Source organism: Homo sapiens, chromosome 14 (assembly GCF_000001405.40).
Source record: "Homo sapiens chromosome 14, GRCh38.p14 Primary Assembly".
Lineage (NCBI taxonomy): Eukaryota > Metazoa > Chordata > Mammalia > Primates > Hominidae > Homo > Homo sapiens.
In genome coordinates, this window is record NC_000014.9 from 96509467 (window position 1) to 96529075 (window position 19609).

At 37.6% G+C, this 19609-nt stretch overlaps 1 protein-coding gene across 10 annotated transcripts in view; it reads left to right on the forward strand.

The window, feature by feature from the left end:
* The window catches only part of PAPOLA (poly(A) polymerase alpha), a 64741-nt gene that overhangs the window by 7091 nt on the left and 38041 nt on the right, over positions 1 to 19609 (forward strand). For 9 of the 10 annotated variants that reach the window (NM_001293627.1, NM_001252007.1, NM_001252006.1 and 6 more), the window contains exons 2-6: positions 10589 to 10762; positions 11540 to 11606; positions 15844 to 15925; positions 17964 to 18073; positions 18487 to 18540. In NM_001293627.1, the coding sequence (NP_001280556.1) occupies positions 10589 to 10762; positions 11540 to 11606; positions 15844 to 15925; positions 17964 to 18073; positions 18487 to 18540 (487 nt within the window). The remainder of the gene's footprint in view (positions 1 to 10588; positions 10763 to 11539; positions 11607 to 15843; positions 15926 to 17963; positions 18074 to 18486; positions 18541 to 19609) is intronic. The other variant, NM_001293632.3, reaches the window with a different exon arrangement.

Below are 19609 nucleotides of genomic sequence, written 5' to 3' on the forward strand. Positions count from 1 at the left end.
TGTATACTTGTAGTATACACAGAATGTAACATACTATAGAACCTGAGATCTTGTGCATTGCTTAATGATTGGATATATTCTGTAAAAATGTGTTATTTTTCAGATTTTATTGTGGGAACAGTGTACTTAACACAAACCTAAATGGTATAGCCTGCTATGCACCTAGGCCTATGCACCAATGATATGGCCTGTTGCTCCTAGGCTATAAACCTGTGGCAGCATGTTACTGTACCGAATACTGTAGGCACTTGTAACACATTAGGAAGCATTTGTGTATCTAAATGTATGTAAACACAAAAGGAATAGTAAAAATACGGTATTATGCTGTTATGGGACCACTGTTATATGTGTGGTCTGTCATTGACTGAAGAATTCTGTTAACGTGGCACACGACTACTTTCAGTGGCTTTATTTGCATATATATTCTTATTTAAAGCCATGCACAGATTTGCCACTTAGACGCCGCTTTGTTGTGGCCAGTACCTTTTGTGGGAGTTGCTTTTTTTTTTTTTTTTTTTTAATCTTTGGATTGTATGTAGGCCTGCTGAACTGTATAGCAATCTCATTTGTGGAAACCTAAGGATTTGGGAAAGAAAAAATAAAGGCATTCTGTTAGATTTCTTTCTTCCTCTTTTGTTACAGAATTATTTTTCAAATTTTTATTCCCTCTATATTTTGTCCAGAAATTGGATTCTTGGATTTTACGGCAGTTTTTATAATTTTGAGGTTGATCAAGAATAGTGTTTGTCATTTTGATCATTAGAAACATTTAAATTACATTTCCTGAAATTAGTGTCTGTAATACTATGACTTACTATAATCTTGACTATTTTCTGATACATTTTCACACTCTTTCGTACTTTTTCAGGTCCTGTTTCATACTTTATTAAATTTACATTTCTTTCATTTTCAAGTTGTACTTGGCAAGTTGATGTAGCAGTGTACAATTTGGCTTTTTTTTTTTTTTTTAAGTTTCTCCTAGCCATATGAGAGAGAGGGACACAACACACACGCGCGCGTGCGCTTGTGCGCAAAGGGGCAGTTGGAAGTACCCTTTGGAAGTGAGGAAAAATAACTTGGCCATTGTAGTAATTGAACAGCAAGTACCCTTTCTCTGCATAAGCAACCTTGAATTTTCAGTTTGGCCTTGGGCTTTATCATACATACTTTATTCCCCTTGAGCATAAACAAACTATTAACATCATCTTTGAGCCTCTGCTGCTGCTTTACTAAATATTGGCTGGATGGCCCACCTGCAGTACGTTTTTAAGAATATAGTGGGATCTAAATATTTTTAGTACCACTTACACAGAACACCTTACGGTGGGCCAGTTAACCATCGTTTTAATTTCTTAGCAAATAGATTATTTTGGCGATAATCTTGCCTGTAAGCTACTATCATGCCGTATACCTTGTGAAAAAGGAGATTGTATTATTTTGGCTAATAATTAATATTTAATGCACATTGAGATACTTTAGAGAGATCCCTTGTATCTTTTCTGTTCATGTCCTTTGAATGAGCACATTAAGGTTAAGACCTTTAAACAGCAAATTCTACTGTGATGAATTGTTACTTTAAATAAGTTAACTGTAGTTTATCTGATTGGTTTCAAAGAAGAATATTTAGCAAGTTTGGCTTTCAGTTTTAACTCTATCATGCAAATAATAAAGTGTTTTCTGTTAAGTAGTAGCTATAAATTGGGGCAGTTGACTCTGTTAATATCATGGGCCACAACTTGTTCCAAATGCCTAATATCACTAGGTGGGGATTAATCAGTAGTGCCTGATGAGTTTTGTATAAATTGAGACACAGGCGGGCTGTGGTGGCTCATGCCCGTAATCCCAGCACTTTGGGAGGTCAAGGTGGGAGGATTGCTTGAGCCCAGGCGTTCGACACCAGCCTGGGCAACATAGTGAGATCCTGACTCTATTAAAAAAAATTAAATTGAGATGCAAAGTACTTAAACATTAACTATTTAAGGAAAACACCAATGGAAATATGATGTTCTGTCCTTTTGTGTGTTAGTCGTCTGCCTAGATTACGCCTCTCCTTTCCGATCATTTACTGTGTACACCTTCTGGCATAGTCATGATTTTATCTTTGTTTCTTTAATGGTTTTTTTCCCAAACTTCTACTTTGCACTTGTTGTTTAAGGATCTGAATCCCAGACTAAATTTGAGATTGTCATTGAAAACAGAGACTACCTTAAGCATCTTTGTATTTCTGATTTTATTTAGCATTGTCTTTTATGCATATTTAGGAATTTGGTACATTTCAACCTCATAAATACTGTACTTTCTGACAAAAGGTAGATGAGAAAAAAGTGCTTTTAGGAAAATTGAGTTGATGTTTAATAACTTGGCCGCCCTAGCAGCTTCCTGGAGCAATAAATAAAGCAATATTTGCTTTGGATTTACTATTTCTAGCCACAGAGTATTGCACTAAAAAGCTATTTTAAAAATCTTTGTTTATTTCACAAAATAGTGTTTTAATTAGCATAAACTGAGTTTTTAGCTAATAACCAAAAGCTAATTATTGTTTTAATTTGAAGATTTGTTTGGTGCCCCTTGCTGCCATTATAGGGGGTTATTTTAGCCTCCTTGCTATAACTATTCTAATTTAATGGTGAACGGTAGAATTAGTTGACTTTCAACTTTTGCAAGATTATTAATATTTACTTTAAATAATTTAACATGTTGAAACAAGTTTATAAAATATAAGGTAAAATTTTACGGTCTCAATTCTGCTTGATTGTGTTTCTATGAATGTGTTATGGACATAATATACAAATAGTTAAAAAAAAAACTGGGTGTCATGGTCCATGCCTGTAATCTGAGCTATAAGGGAGGATCGCCTGAGCTCAAGAGTTTAGATCAGCCTGGGCAACAGAGCAAGACACCATCTCTAAAATTAAAAAAATATATATCTTTATCTATATGACTACATATTGTAAATGATGTGCAGAGGTGCCTCAGTATAGAGATGATTATTATAGGCTATGATATCAGCTATCTGGGTTCATATTCTGGTCCAGTAAACTTAGTCAAGCCTTCTTTCTTAGTTTAATAGTAAGAGTTGTTAGAAAAAATTGGGAATAATGTAAAGTGCTTGACTTAATACGTGGGTTATGTTGAAATTTCAGTAGATGGCAGCTATGATCGTAATTATATTCTGCAACTTTTTTTTCTCCTGATACACATGCTGCTAAACATACTATCTCATTGCTTTATTTTGGCATAGTTTTAAGTTGTAAGCATGTACTGTAATTAACAAGTTCTTTACTGATGGATATTTAGGTGGTTTCCAGTTTTACTTCATTGCATACTCTGCTCAGTGAACAACCTTGATTACCTTTCTGTGTTAGTTCTGTGAGAAAGGTTCAAATTCCAGAACCTATGAGATCAAGAGAGTTAATTTACAAATGAATGAACTAAGTACCAAAGAAGCTCCCTTTTTAGGGGATAGCCCTGGGATAGACACTGCTCATTTCAAGCTTATTTCTGTTGTGCTGGAATTCGGGTCCCTATTTTGGTCTGTCTTCCAGTCTTTGCACCCATACTCTAGCAGTGGCTGGAAATGTATATATTTTTTATTGTTTGTTTTTTGCTTTTTTTGGGGATGGAGTCCCGCTTGTTGCTCAGGCTGGACTGCAGTGGTGTGATCACAGATCACTACAGCCTCAGCTTCCTGGGCTCAAGAGATCCTCTTGCCTCAGCCTTCTGAGTAGCTGGGACTACACTACAGGTGCATGCCACTACAGCTGGCTAATTTTTAAACTTTTTGTACAGATGGGGCCTTTCTATGTTGCCCAGGCTGGTCTCAAACTCCTGGGCTCAAGGGATCTTCCTACCTCAGCCTCCCAAAGTGACGGGATTACAGGTCTGAGCCGCTGCACCAGGCCTGGGGATTTAGCTTTTTATGTAATTTATATTTTAAAAATGTGTGATTAAAGAGAATATGTCTTCCAATTTCATGGCTTTCAGTTTGAACCTTCTGTCCTAGTATTTTTGTAATAAATAGATCGCTGGAGATAAAGTTGCTAGACAAACTTTTAAAATTGGTATGTGCATTTTTAATTTTGATAAATATCATATTGCCTTTTAAAATGATGTAACAAGTTTGCTTTCATCGTGATGAATAAGGGCTCGTTTTTTTTACACCATGGCCAACATTGGAGGTTTTTTGTCTTTCATTCTTACCACATATATTAAATTTTGTTTTTCATTAATCAGGTTGTCTTAATTTGCTTCCCTGATATGCAGTGAAACTTTTTTAAAAATTGATTGAAGAATTCTTTATGTATTCAGACTGTTGCTGTTTTGGCATAAGCTGCATGTATTTTCTCCTTTTATCATTTGCTTTAACTTTCCTTATGTGCTATATTGTTATTATATAAAAGTTGGAATATTTTGATGTAAGTAAACCTGTTTTTATGGCTTTTGCGTTCCGTGTCTTGCTTGACTAAGGCTCTGAAAATGTTTTTTATTTTCTTTCAGTGCCTTTATGCTTTTTAAATATTTCTGAAATAGCATCTGGGTTTTAGATTTTACTATGGACAGTCAAAGCCATTTGAGTATTTCATAGTTGTCTTCACTGATTTAAAATGGTTATCAGTATATGTCCAAAGATGATCATGCTTTGCCTATTTGAATGTATGACCATTAAACTCCAGTTAACAAATCATAGGAACTTGCACTATTTGCATTAGGTATCTTTTTTTTTTTTTTTTGAGACTGAGTCCTGTTCTGTTGCCCAGGCTGGAGTGCTGGGATCTCGGCTCACTGCAAGTTCCACCTCCCGGGTTCACGCCATTCTCCTGCCTCAGCCTCACAAGTAGCTATGACTACAGGCAACTGCCACCACGCCCGGCTAATTTTTTTTTTTTTGTTATGTTTAGTAGAGACGGGGTTTCACTGTGTCAGCCAGGGTGGTCTCGATCTCCTGACGTCGTGATCCGCCCGCCTTGGCCTCCCAAAGTGCTGGGATTGCAGGCGTGTGCCACCACGCCCAGCCTATTTGCATTAGATTTCTAACTACTGTACCAAGGTGGTTCTTGATAGTTGAGATTGTATATATTAGTTAAGTCGAATGTCTAACCTTTTGAAACAAATATCCCGCCAAAATAAATAGCCAACAGTCAACAAAAATGTCACTATTCTTTCTAAGTTCCTAAATATTTATCCTAATTAGAGTCATCTTGACAGCCCTGCATGGGGAAAGGAAAGACCTGTTTCTCAGCTTTGGTCTAAAAACTTTCGTATTTGGAAACTGCTCTTTAGTGTTATGTGTTGTAGTTGTAAAATTCCTAGTTTGTTATCCAAAGTAATGAAGAGATACAATAAATTCTAAGGTAAATCTGCAGAGATGCAACTTACCAAGAATAATATAACTAGTGGCAGAATTGAAACCAGAGTAATACGACGAGTAGCAGAAGTGAAATCAGGCCTGCTTTCTCCCTTTTTTATCAGATTGTTTTTGAGTTGAGACCAGACTTTGTAGTCTGTCCTGAATGCTGTTACCAGAAGTCACAGTTTTTTTAGTATACAGTTATATTTTAGGAAGACATACTTAGTAGTAATATGCATGGTGGAACCATGTGACAAAGGAGTGGAAGGAAAGGAGTTGGGACCAAGATTGCCAAGAATCAGAACTAGAATAGTTGAAAACGAATTGTTATATAGAATGTTAAAATTAAAACAATTAAAAGGCATGTATTCTATGTGAACTTTGCCTTGATGAAAATAATTTAAATATTATAAAGAAAACTCCTCGTATTCTAAGGAGAGAAGAGTTCTGAAAATTCTTTATACATTACCTTGAACCTGTAAGAAAAGGTGTGTTTGTAGGGGAGGAGTGTTTGGCTGTCTTTTTGTGGTTTTGAGAGGGGGCAGAATTCATATATGTACTATTAGATGTAGGTATGTATTTATGTGTAACTCTGATCCAGAAAGGATGAAGACTTTTAAGAATGCTTTAGTCATAATATTAAAAACTGGCAAGATGTTTGCATTAGATGTGGATGAAAAGGAAGAATAAGGATAGATACACAATGGAGCAAAATATTAGGCTACTAAAAATAGTTCTTAAGGAAATACAGTAACTTTTGTATTTTTATAGAGTAGAGAGCTTGCTAGATGGCTGCCAGTTGCACTCTAAGAATTCAGGCAGTACCCTGAAGGTAAATATTAATTATGTTGGTGAGACGAAAATGGACCAGTTGCTCAAGCAAAGCACAGTGTTCTTCATATTAAAAACCAGGAAGACATTTTAAGGAATCACAAATACTGCAGCTATATGTCTGGTTTGTATTTTTCCTTTTTGTGTTACGTAAATTGTAGAAGTTTATTTTTCAAAGTAGAATAGTGTCTGAAGAAAATTAAATACTGGTAAAAATGTTTCTAGAATGGGCAGATGTCTAGTGCATTCAAGAATGGGAGGAGGAACTTTGCATTCTTGGGATTGGTAGCTGTCTGGTGTATGGTTCCAGGAGAGTGTCAGTGCATATGTAAGGCAGAAGAATCCTTAATCTTTGGAGGTTTATGTTCCAAATTGCCCAATATTGGAGTATATAGTTTTGTTAGAAGGAGAACAGCAACAAAAAGATTCCTTAAATTGTTTTATCACTCTACTTAATTTCTAATGTTAAATGGAAAATCTTCACTTCCATTTAAAGTGTTACAATATTTAATGTTTCTACTTTGGACGTTTGAAACATCTGGGAGCCTGGAATTCTTAGTCTAGCTCCTTAAGCTCATGCTGAGCCATTTTTATTGGAGACACAAGTATCTTGTAAATTTCAGAGTATGCATTTGTTTCTTTTTATTTGGTAGGTCTATGTTAACGTAGTTTTTCCTTTTCTTTCTTTCTTTCCTTCCCTTTCCTTCCCCTCCCTCCCTCATTCTCTCCCTCTCTTTCTTCCTTCCTCCCTCCCTCCCTCCCTCCTGGGCTCCTATCTCAAACTCCTGGGCTCAAGCCATCCTCCTGCCTCAGCCTCCTGAGTAGCTAGGACTACGGGCATGTGCCACCAAGCCCAGCTAATTTTTATTTTTCATAGAGATGGGTGTCTTGCTGTGTTGCCCAGGCTGGTCTCAAATTCCTGACCTCAAGTGATTTTCCCCTGCTGTGCCTCCCTAAGCATTGGGATTATATGCATGAGCCATGGTGCCTGGCTCATATATATTCTTTCTTGAATTAGATGGAACACATGTGGTTTTATCTTGACAGAAAGTAATACTGAGGCTAGATGATGTGCCTACATTTGGAATAAAGTAAATAAAAATTTCCAGCTTGCGTCTGATTTATTTCCCCATCAAAATGTTAGTGTAATCAATATTTTTTCAAATTAGGCTGAACAAGTCTTGTGCGCGTTTAGAAATCAGGGCCTGTATTCTAATGTTCTAGTGAGAAAGTTAAAGTAGACAGGAGCTTTCCAAGCATTGTTTATTGTGACAATGAAAGCCTAAAGATTTGAGTAAGAAAAAAATGGGAAGATTTAGGAATCTTACAGTGGATACTCTTTGTTTTTTTAATGATCCAAACTGAACTGGTAATGAATTTAATTCCTTGAGAATGGAAAAGAATGCAGAGAAACATATTACTCGCACAAAACAAAAATAGAAGTTTATTGCTTGAAGCTACAAAAGTATAATTTCAGCTTATACTTGACTTAAAAGCTCTCCTTGCTTGAACCAGATCTAGCCTAGACAAAATAAAGTTTTTACACTTTTTCTGGCTTTACTTGCGTTAAAGTCATTTATAAAAGCATTCATAATCCCAGGATAATTGTGAAGGACTGTAGTTTATTCAGAAAAACTCATGAAGCAATGAATAACACAAGATAATACAATTACGTTAGGATATGTGGTAAGCGTACTTTGTATTGTGCACTTGAAAATTTAAGAGTAGATCTCAGGTTGCGTGCTCTTATGGCAGAAAACCAGAGGGGTACACAGGGAAACTTTTGGAGGTAATGGATGCGTTTATTACCTTGATTATGCTAATGGAACTACAAGTGTATGCATATGTCCAAACTCACCAAATTATATACATTAATTACGTTCAGTAGTTTTGGTATGTCAGTGATATCTCAATAAAACTGGGGGAAAAAAAAACCTGTGTGTGATGAACAAGACATTATGAATTCAGTTACATTTCATGTGTATATTTTAACCTTAGGAGATGCTACATATGATTGGAAAACAGAACATTTTTATTTTGTCTTCAGCAAATGCTTTTTTTTTTTTTTTTTTTTCCTGAGATGGAGTTTTGCTCTGTTGCCCAGGCTGGAGTGCAGTGGCACGATCTTGGCTTACCGCAACCTCCACTTCCTGGGTTAGAGCGATGCTCCTGCCTCAGCCTACTGAGTAGCTGAGATTATAGCATGCCACCACACCTGGCTAATTTTTGTATTTTTATTAGAAATGGGTTTACGCCTTCTTGGCTGGGCTGGTCTTTGAACTCCTGGCCTCAAATCATCTGCCCTCCTCGGCCCCCCAAAATTTGCTGGGATTACAAGTGTGAGACACCATGCTTGGGCCAGTCTTCAGCAAATGCTTAATGCTGATGGGGATTAACATAGCTTTTGAGTAGCTATGCAACTTAGATTAAAGGGGCAGGAGGAAACGATCTAATGTGAATTAATTTCTGCAAGAGATAAATCTGATTCATATTTATTCAGTAAATGTTATTATAAAATCTGAATTAAAATTAAGACAGTATGTAACTAGACCAGGCAACAGTAAATAGATGACACGCAGTCCAGCAGCTAATTAGTAACACGCAGTATGGGCTTCTTGGCATTCTTAGATCTTTCTTGATATCACAAGACAAATTACAGAACAGTCTAGCCGTTGGAGTATAGACCAGAACCCAGTGGATTTGTTCAGTAAATGTATCATAAGCCTTACTTGCATAGCATTCTTAGATTTAGCACTTTATTGCTTTTTGCTTTTTTTTTTTTGAGACGGAGTCTCGCTCTGTCCCCCAGGCTGGAGTGCAGTGGTGCGATCTCAGCTCACTGCAAGCTCCGCCTCCCAGGTTCACGCCATTCTCCTGCCTCAGCCTCTCCGAGTAGCTGGGACTACAGGCGCCCGCCACTACGCCCAGCTAATTTTTTGTATTTTTAGTAGAGACGGGGTTTCACTGTGGTCTCGATCTCCTGACCTCGTGATCCGCCCACCTCGGCCTCCCAAAGTGCTGGGATTACAAGCGTGAGCCACCGCGCCTGGCCTTTATTGCATATGTAGATTATCACACTTTAACTTAAAGTAGAAATTGTATTTAGAACTTGGTAAAAAAAAGTAGCTGTGGTTGGGCATGGTGGCCCATGCCTGTAATCCCAGCACTTTGGGAGGCCAAAGGGAGCGGATCACTTGAGCTCAGGAGTTCGAGAGCAGCCTGGCCAACATGGTGAAACCCTGTCTCTACTAAAAATATAAAAATTAGCCGGGTGTGGTGGCATGCACCTGTAGTCCCAGCTACTCGGGAGGCTGAGGCAGGAGAATCGGTGGAACCTGGAAGGTAGAGGTTGCAGTGAGCTGAGATCGTACCACTGTACTCCAGCCTGGGTGACAGAGCGAGACTCCATCTCAAAAAATAAGAGGTAGCTGTGTGTGTGTGTAAAATACACTTTTTTTTTTTTTGGTAGAGACAGGGTTTCAGCATGTTATCCAGGCTGGCCTCAACTCCTGGGCTCAAGCCATTCTCCCACTTCAGCCTCCTGAAGTGCTGGGATTACAGGGGTGAGCCCACACCTGGCCTATAAACACTTAATTTCTTAAGGAATGGAATTTGGGAGAAATAACCGATCCAGATTTTGGGTCTTTCCTTATTGTGTACTTGGTTTTGTATGTTATTCAACTGTTAGTTTAAAATTATTATGTTGACTTCTTAATTTAATGAAAAAATATTTATGAAAAAAGATTGAGTCAGATTTATTTCCTAAGCATTTAAAGCATGCTATGCCTTTTTACAAATTTGGAACTTATCTTAAAATGGATAAAATAGCTGTGTGTGTGTAAAATAAACCTTTTAGACTAGCATCATTATCGAAGTGTAAATCTCTTAAAAAGATCATTAACAAGCTTAAGGTATATTCACCCTAAGGGAAAGAACTATATTCAGTTCTTTCCCTTCAAATTTTGTTTAAGTTTTTGCTATTTGCTTCATTATCTATGAACTTCGTTCATTGTAAGCCAGATGCCAGGTTTCATTTGGGGAATGTCTTATATTGGTAAAGTAGCATTTCTGTAGCGTGTTTATCAATGTTTAAGAAACAGATTTTGGCTTCTTTTCAAGAGGTGAAATTTCTCAGAAGTTTACTATATTCTGAATTAGTGTTTTCTCTAGCAATGTATTTGGTCTGGATTCTAACTTAGATGTTTAAGTAGTGACAGTTAAAATCCTTGGGGCAGGATTTTCTCTTTGGTCACTTGCTTTTGGTCACTTTTTGTCAAAAATTTTGGGGGTATTGCAGGGAACCAATCATGTTTAGAAATGTGTGTTACTAAATTAGTTTTTCTGGTCTTACTGATTTGTTTCAAATTGTAGAATTCTTTTGGCAGTAATTGTATCCAATTTTGTTTATAGTCCAGTTACAACACAGGGATCACAACAAACACAACCGCCACAGAAGCACTATGGCATTACTTCTCCTATCAGCTTAGCAGCCCCCAAGGAGACTGACTGCGTACTTACACAGAAACTAATTGAGACATTGAAACCCTTTGGGGTTTTTGAAGAGGAAGAGGAACTGCAGCGCAGGTAAATAGATATTCTATATTTTTTTAACTCGGAAACTTTTATTAATGTTGACATAAACTAATTTTGAGGCATTCTCTACTTACTTAGAAGACCAGGGTTATTTGCCCAGATCTATATATCTGTTTTGGAGAAGAGGGATACTTAAGAGAGAAAACTTTTTGTTTTTGAGACGGAGTCTTGCTCGTTACCCAGGCTGGAGTGCAATGGTGTGATCTTGGCTCACCACAGCCTCCGCCTCCTGGGTTCAAGCGATTCTCCTGCCTCAGCCTCTCGAGTAGCTGGGATTATAGGTACCCGCCACCACGCCCGGCTAATTTTTTGTATTTTTAGTAGAGGTGGGGTTTCACCATGTTGGGCAGGCTGGTCTCGAACTCCTGAGCCTTGGTCTCCCAAAGTGTTGGGATTACAGGCGTGAGCCACCGTACCTGGCTGAAAACTTTTATTTTCTACATAGAGTTCTCTTCCCTTAATTTTGATGTTATTTATTTTTTTTTCTGAAGAATTAATTTTGATTTTTTATGCTTTTGGTTATTATAGTACTGAATTGTCTGGAGAAAAAGGAATGCCTTACTCAGTGTAACAGTGCCTGTATATATATATAGAAAGAGAGAGAGAGAGAAAGCGAGAGAGAGAGCGAGCGAGCGTGCACTAACTACAATATACTGTGCTTCTGATTGCTTAAAAACTCATAATTTAGGAAGAACGCCTATTTAAAACTTTAAGAAATTTAATCAGTAATGATCTGGAATACTTGATTGATAATTGTTTTATCAACAGGATTTTAATTTTGGGAAAACTAAATAACCTGGTAAAAGAGTGGATACGAGAAATCAGTGAAAGCAAGGTAAGGCAACTTTTTTGTATATGAAATAATTTCATATATAGCCAACTGAACACAGCAAGTGTCTTATATAACCTGTTCTTATTTGAGTGGATTTGGAGTCTTTAATGTGGAGTCAATTTTAGACTATTGATAACAGATTTTACATTATTTTTCTAGTTAATTTGGAAGCAGGAAAAACTGAACTGAGTTAAGCGATTTTTAAAAATAAGTATAGTACTCTTTGTTTGGAACATTTGAAAACTGAAACTCAGTAATTGTAAAGTACTTACACTCTTCACAGAAATAATGGATGTTTCTCTAAAAAGGTGCTTTAAACATATTTGAGACTCTTCTTACCTTTTAAGAAATTCTGCCACAGTTAGTTTTTAAAAAAGATTTTCAGGTATTATTCAAACTGAATATTTATTTATTTATTTATTTTTTATTTATTTTTTTTGAGACAGGGTCTCGCTCTGTCATTCAGGCGGAGTGTAGTGACACCATTATAGTGCACTGTAACCTGAAATTCCTGAGTTCAAGCAGTCCTCCTGGCCTCAGCCTCCCAAGTAGCTAGGACTATAGGCATGTCCCTTCACACCTGGCTAATGGTATATGTGGAGTCTTGCTGTGTTGCCCAGACTGATCTCAAACTCCTAGCCTCAAGCAGTCCTCTCATCTTGGCCTCCCAAAGTGCTAGTGTTCCAGGCGTGAGCCGCTGCCCGGCCTATTTAGTTTTCTGTAATAACATTCTTTGGGTTTCCTTTTTTCTTTCTTTATTGAGACAGAGTCTCACTCTGTCACCCAGGCTAGAGTGCAGTGGTGCCACTGCAACCACCACCTCCCGGGTTCAAGTGATTCTCATGCCTCAGCCTCCTGAGTAGCTGGAATTGCAGGCGGGCGCCACCATGCCCAACTATTGTTTTTATTTTTAGTAGAGATGGGGTTTCTCCATGTTGGCCACGCTGGTCTTGAGCTCCTGACCTCAAGTGATCCACCTTCCTTGGCCTCCCAAAGTGCTTGGGATTATAGGCATGAGCCACTGCATCTAGCCTCTTTCTTTCTTTCTTTTTTTTTTTTTTTTTTTTTTTTTGAGACAGTCTTGCTCAGTTGCCCAGGCTGAAGTACAGTGGCACCATCTTGGTTCGCTGCAACCTGTGCCTCCTGCGGCCAACTGATTCTCCTGCCTCAGCCCCTCAAGTAGCTGGGATTACAGGTGTGTGCCACCATACCCAGCTAATTTTGTATTTTAGTAGAGATGGGCTTTTGCCACGTTGACCAGCTGGTCTCAAACTTTTGGTCTCAAGTGATCTGCCCACCTCGGCCTTTCAAAGTGCTGGGATTACAGGCGTGAGGTACTGTTCTGTCCTCTTTTTTTTTTTGAGACAGGGTCTCCCTCTTGCCCAGACTGGAGTGCAGTGGCATGATCTTAGCTAACTGTATCCTCCACCTCCCGGGCTCAGGCAATCCTCCCACCCCAGCCTCCTGAGTAGCTGGGACTATATAGGTGGGCACCACCAAGCCTGGCTAATTTTTTGTAGCGATGGCTTTTCACCATGTTGCCTAGGCTAGTCTCGAACTCCTGGGCTTAAGATATCTGCTTGCCTTGGCTTCCCAAAGTGCCAGGATTACAGGGGTGAGCCACTGCCCCAGCCCCTTTGAGTTTCTAACACTTCATTATGAATACTCATACATACAACTCATAAATACATGGCTGGGCTTCTTCTGGTAGAGAAAATGTATTTGTAGAGTTGTGTGTGGAGTTCATTTGACCCATTTAAAAAAATAACATAAATAGTGGTAATTTTTCCAGGGTAGTACAAAATCCGTGTTTAATCTATAATATAACTGAAAGGTTGAAAAGAGAACCAAGGGTAAAGGAAAAATTTCATAGAGCAGGGAGACAGGGTGTCAACTTAAAAGTTGTAGTCTTTTGGTTTTAATGAAATTTATAGTACTGTTTACTTATGCAGTGTATATGTATATTTCAAAATACAAATTAAACTTCAGCAAATGTAGTATTCTAAATTATGGACTTTACGTACCATGTGTTTCTTACTGATTTTAGTTTCTGATAGAAAATAAGATTTTTTTTTTGGTTTGTTTGACATCTAATACTCTTCACTTAAAAATGAAAAAAAGATTTTGCAAGTGAAAATGTTTTTCCATGACCTGAATTAAGAAATCTTAATTTCTGGGTTACAATGATGATAATAAGTATAAACATACTAATATCTAAAAATGTAGTTTATAATATACTAGTCACTAGTCACCAGCCAGGTATTTAAATAAAAATTAAAATTAAACATTCAGATTCTTGACTACACTAGCAACATTTCAGGTGCTCAACAAAAGTGATAACAGTGACAGAATATTTACATCCTTGCAGAAAGTACCATTGGAGAGTATTCTTCAAAAGATTGTTATGTCTTAATAGAGAAGTCTGTGGACCAGTGTTTTAAGATAGTTTCTCCTTCACCTCCTTTGTAGGCTACTTGTGCACACGTCTTGCTGGCTAATTTTAAATAACCAGGTCAGCGTTGCCATTGAGGTTTTAAAATATCTAAACATAGGAAGACAAAGGCTTTGCTTACTTTTAAGAAATACAACATTACAGCCAGGCGCAGTGGCTTACGCCTGTAATCCAACACTTTGGGAGGCCAAGGTGGGCTTATCACGAGGTCAAGAGTTCGAGACAAGCCTGACTAACATGGTGAAACCCTGTCTCTACTAAAAATACAAAAATTAGCTGGGCGTGGTAGTGCGCGCCTGTAATCCCAGCTACTCAGGAGGCTGAGGCAGGATAATGGCTTGAACCGAGGAGGCAGAGGTTGCAGTAAGCCGAGATTGCGCCCGTTGCACTGCAGCCTGGGTGACAGAGCGAGACTCTGTCTCAGAAAAAAAAAAAAAAAAATTACACACATAACTTGTCTATTAGTGTCTATAGTGATGGTTAAATATGCTCTTAAAAAACAGGAGTCTCTGACTGTTTAGAACTTGGCTTTAGGGTTTTTTTGGAGTATGAAATAACACTTCATTTTATGTCCTTTTTCTTTTTTTTGAGAGGAAGGGGGGTGGTCTTTTACATGTTTTGGTACTGAATAGATATTTTATTATACTGAGGAGTTAGGTAAAAGGAAATATTGACTAAACACTTCATAAAATTGTTTTTGTTTGGACAGACCTTGTCATTCTTACGAGCAGGGCCATTGAATACTAAACCGTAAAGCTTGGGACTTTACACTAGTGCCAGGGCCAGGAAGGCAGTTTTTGAATGCTTTCTCCCTCTTCCTGATGATGCTACTCTTTCTGAGTAAGAAAAGAAAATTTAGTTGTTTCTAAATTACTTCACTAAAGCCTTTTGGAAATCTAAAAAACTAAGCAATTATTTACCAATATTGGCTTTTTCTTCTCTGCTCTGCTGTCCCTTTCCCCTTCCCGTTCCCCTTCCCCTTCCCTTCTTCCCCTCTTCCCCTTCCCCTTCTCTTTTTTTGAGACAGGGTCTGACTGTCGCCCAGGCTAGAGTGCAGTGGCGTGATCATGGCTCACGTAGCCTTGACCTGTAGGACTCAAGCAATCCTCCCACCTTAGCCACCTGATTAGCTGGGACTATATGTGCATGCCACCATGCCCAGCTAATTTTTAAAACATTTTTTGTAGAGACGGGGTTTCACATGTTGCCGAAGCTGGTCTCAATCTGGGCTCAAGCAATTGGCCCGTCTCACCCTCCCAAAGTGTTGGGATTATAGGCGTGAGCCACTGTGTGTGGCTACTATTGGCTTTCAAGTCACTTTTGATATGATAAAAAAAATACTCTAATATGTTGTGGGATATTTGGTAAAAATCGTTGAATATAATCTTTTTCTTTAAAGCAATCAGAATATGTTTTTATTATACTCTAAATTGGTGATTCATTTTATATACAGCATCTTTGTCATGAATAAAGTCCCCGATTCTAACGTGCTCCTGTGGGATTACATGATCTTCTCAATCACAGTCTTCTTTATAGTAGTTTCTAGAAATAGGGCAAGAATCTAACAATAAAGAATAAACCTCTTTAAAAGTTGAAAATGGTTTGAATTTCAAATATGATTGATCTGAGGGGCTGGTATTTTTTAAGAACTTTTATAGACTTTGAATACCCTTTATATAAATTTACACTGTAATCTTTCTTGGATCCACTCCCTCACCCCAGTATAGTATCATTTGAATAGTTTCCCTTGTGCTCCACTGGCAAAATAACCATTTTTTGTTTCAACAGAATCTTCCACAATCTGTAATTGAAAATGTTGGAGGAAAAATTTTTACATTTGGATCTTACAGATTAGGAGTGCATACAAAAGGTAAGTATTATTTCATTTTTCTTAGAAAGGGACCCTTTAGTTCTTAAAAATTATGACATACCCGTCTCAGTTACTTGTGTATCATATAGCTTAGGCTTGCATGGAAGAGAGAGTGCTTTGAGGAGTCTAAATTTTTCAGTAAGAAAGATGTAAAATAATGCTGACTTCTATATCGCCACTGTCCAAAAGTATTATTAAGATTAAATGAAATTAGCTTAGTGTGGTGACTCATATCTGTAATCCTAGAACTTTGGGAGGCCGAGGCAGGTGGATTGCTTGAGCCCAGGGAGGTCAAGGCTGCAGTGAGCTGTGATTGCATTGCTACACTTCAGCCTGGGTGACAGAACAAGACCCCGTCTCAAGAAAAAGTAAATAAATAAATTAAAAACTCAGAGTTTCAGTAGAGGTAGCCACATTTTATCTGTTCAGTAGCCACATATGGCTAGTCGTTACTGCATTGGAAAGTACAGATACAGAGTAGTTTTTCTGTTGGAGAGCTCTTTTGTACAGTGCTGCTATCTACATATATATCATTTTCCCTCACCAGAAGAATATCACTCTGGAAATAGAACAAAAATGAATTCTAGCTTTTAAGAAAACTCATGGATGCCCCCCGCTAATACCTTTATAGACAAATTATAAAATATAGCTAAGCAAAAGCAAACCCCAAAAATGTGTATTCATAGCCAATGATAATCAGTTAATAGTTTATACTTGTAGTTATTTCCTCTATGCAAATAAATACACAATAAAAATGTTACCTCGGCAAAGAACATTTATTGAGCTTCTTTTCTTTCACTGAGTACTGAGATCTTCATTATCTTATTTAGTTCTTCCAGTACTGTTATTCTCACATAACAAACAGGAGCCTGAGACTAAAAGAGGCAATAAAGCTTGAACAGTTTTTCTCAACCTTCTAGTGGCAGAGTAGGTACAACTCAGGCATCCCGAGGCTGTACTGTCTTTGGGTCTTGCTCTGTTGCACAGGCTGGATGCAGTGGCACAGTCTTGGCTTACTGCACCTTCCACCTCCTGGGCTCAATTGATTTTCAGGCCTCAGCCACCTGAGTAGCTGGGACTACAGGCACACGCCACCATGCCTGGCTAATTTTTTAATTTTATTTTGGTAGAGACAGGGTTTTCCCGTGTTGTCCAGCTGGTCTCGAACTCCTGGGCTCAAGCCATCCACTTGCCTCGGCCTCCCAGAGTGCTGGGATTACAGGCATGAGCCACCACGCCCAGCTGAGGCTGTATTCTTTAACCATGAACTGTATCTGCCGAGATAGTGTTGTCTGTTTTCTAGTATCCTTTCCTCTCTCCATCTCCCATCACTCTGTCCCATTAGTACATTACTTTTGATATATCCTGTGTGCTGTACACCGTTCTTCCTGTTCTAATAAATAGCTTTCAGAGTCATACCTCAGCATCTTGTCTTTTAGGAAAATGACTGTTGACCTGATTCCACATTAATCTCTCCCTTTTATGACCCCAATTGATTTTAATTCTCCTTTTTAAAATTCTGCCTATGTACTTAGTGCTGGCCTCTTATCAAGCACTGAATTAATGACAAATATTTTACCATTGTCTACTTCTTTGGATTCTTCTGCTTGAAGTTTATTTTGTAGGTCCCATTTAGGGGCCTGGTAGAGAACCTATAAGCACCAAATACGTAGTACATAGAGGAAAACTATTTTTGTTTTACCAATGAACATGGCTATGACTAATGACATCAAGATGTTGGGTGTATGTTTGAATAATTCCCTCTCCACCATGAAAGTACTTGCTGAGCCATCTTTCTTTGGGCTCCCAGTTTACTTGGGCCACTATAAATAGAGGATGCTGCAGGATCAAAATATACCACATCAATTAAAATCATGTTTGTCCTCCATTGACTGGTAATTTTAAGTAAGGGGTGGAACATTTTTAGAAGCTCACCAGTATGTTAAACAGATTCTCAACATCAAATACTACCATGATAGGATGCAAAATAATTTTCTTGTAATATTAATTAGTGGTTGATGGGCTTAATTTTTTTTAGGTGCTGATATTGATGCGTTGTGTGTTGCACCAAGACATGTTGATCGAAGTGACTTTTTCACCTCATTCTATGATAAGTTGAAATTACAGGAAGAAGTAAAAGATTTAAGAGTGCGTAAATGTTCGGGGTGAAATGGGATGAGTTATGAACATTCATTTAGTCAGTTGAGTGAATTTTATGATATAGCCATCATTTATTGAGTTCTTGCAATTTGCCAAACCTTTCTAAACACTTGGCATATGTGTTTGTGTTTTATTCTTTACAGCAAGCCTAAAATTATAAACTCATTTACAGATTAGGAAATTGAGGCAAACAAAATAAATATGAAATAATCTGGCCACAATCATACATCTGATGAGTGGGTGAAGTAAAATATTTGAACCTTGATTTCTGATCTGTCTGATCGAACAGCCCAGTCTTAAAGCTAGCTATTTTTGTGTCAGGTGTTTTGCTAAAGTACTAAAACTAGTAGAGGCTTAAAATGTAGTTTCAGAGACCCTGAACTTGTTTACTTTCCTTATAGGCTGTTGAAGAGGCATTCGTACCAGTTATTAAACTCTGTTTTGATGGGATAGAGGTAAGGTATAGTTCAAATTGACAGTTCTTGCTATGTGCTGTCACTAATTTTGATTGATATAGGTTAAAAACTTGGTTTAAAGTTTATAATTAGTGAGTTGGTTGTGATATTAATAACAATTAAGGCTTTTAAATGGAAGTGACTGCCTATTCTTGTAGAATATACCATTTTAAATCTTTTTAAAAATACCAAGTGAAATTTGGAGCTAAAACAGAAGTAATGAAACCTTAAGATTGAAATGCTATTACAAAAAAGTTTTTTTGGTAGCTTTTCCATATGCCAGTTTTGTGTGCTTTTAGTCTCATTAAGGCAGTAGCATAATGTGTTTTTGCAAGTAATGCTTTGCTTTGACTTCATTTAAAAATTGGGAGAAAAGTGTGAGTGCTGAAATATCTTCCGATAGGGGAGGATTTATGGACTCAAATTCTTGAGATGATGTTCATTTCTCCTTGCTGCTTTCGGTGTGTGTAATTAAAGTGATGAGAATAAAGTTGACAGTGAAGCAACTTTAGTAATTCATTACTTTTGCTGTACAGAATGGTACTGGAAAGTCACAGATAATAAAGTGAAGATTGTAACATTTTGGAAACTGTAAGAGAAATAATTTATTGAAGCTGGGCACAGTGATGTGCACCTATCAGGAAGCTGCTACAGGAGGATCTCTTGAGCCCAGGAGCTTAAATCTAGCCTGGCAATGTAGCGAGACTTAATCTCTTTAAAAAATAAAAAAGATAATTCACTGTTGTACTATTTTGCAAAAAAATGGCTGCATCTAAGGTTGCTGCATAAGACGCTCAACTCTGTATTTTATGAAAAGTCAAGTGACTGACCTTAATAAGTAGACATAAAATGTTAAATTTGGTAAAGGATTATCAAGTTCATGTAGTTTTGATTTACTGTCAGTGTTTTAAGTAAACGTAAAAATAATCTGTAATATAAAGTATAAGTTGAGGCCTCATTTTCCTAAAAAGAATATTACTGACAAAGAGGACTTTTTTTTGGAAGGAGACCTGACCTAACTTTGTAAACTTTACAGGATCAAGATGGAAAGTTAGATGGCTACTTAAAA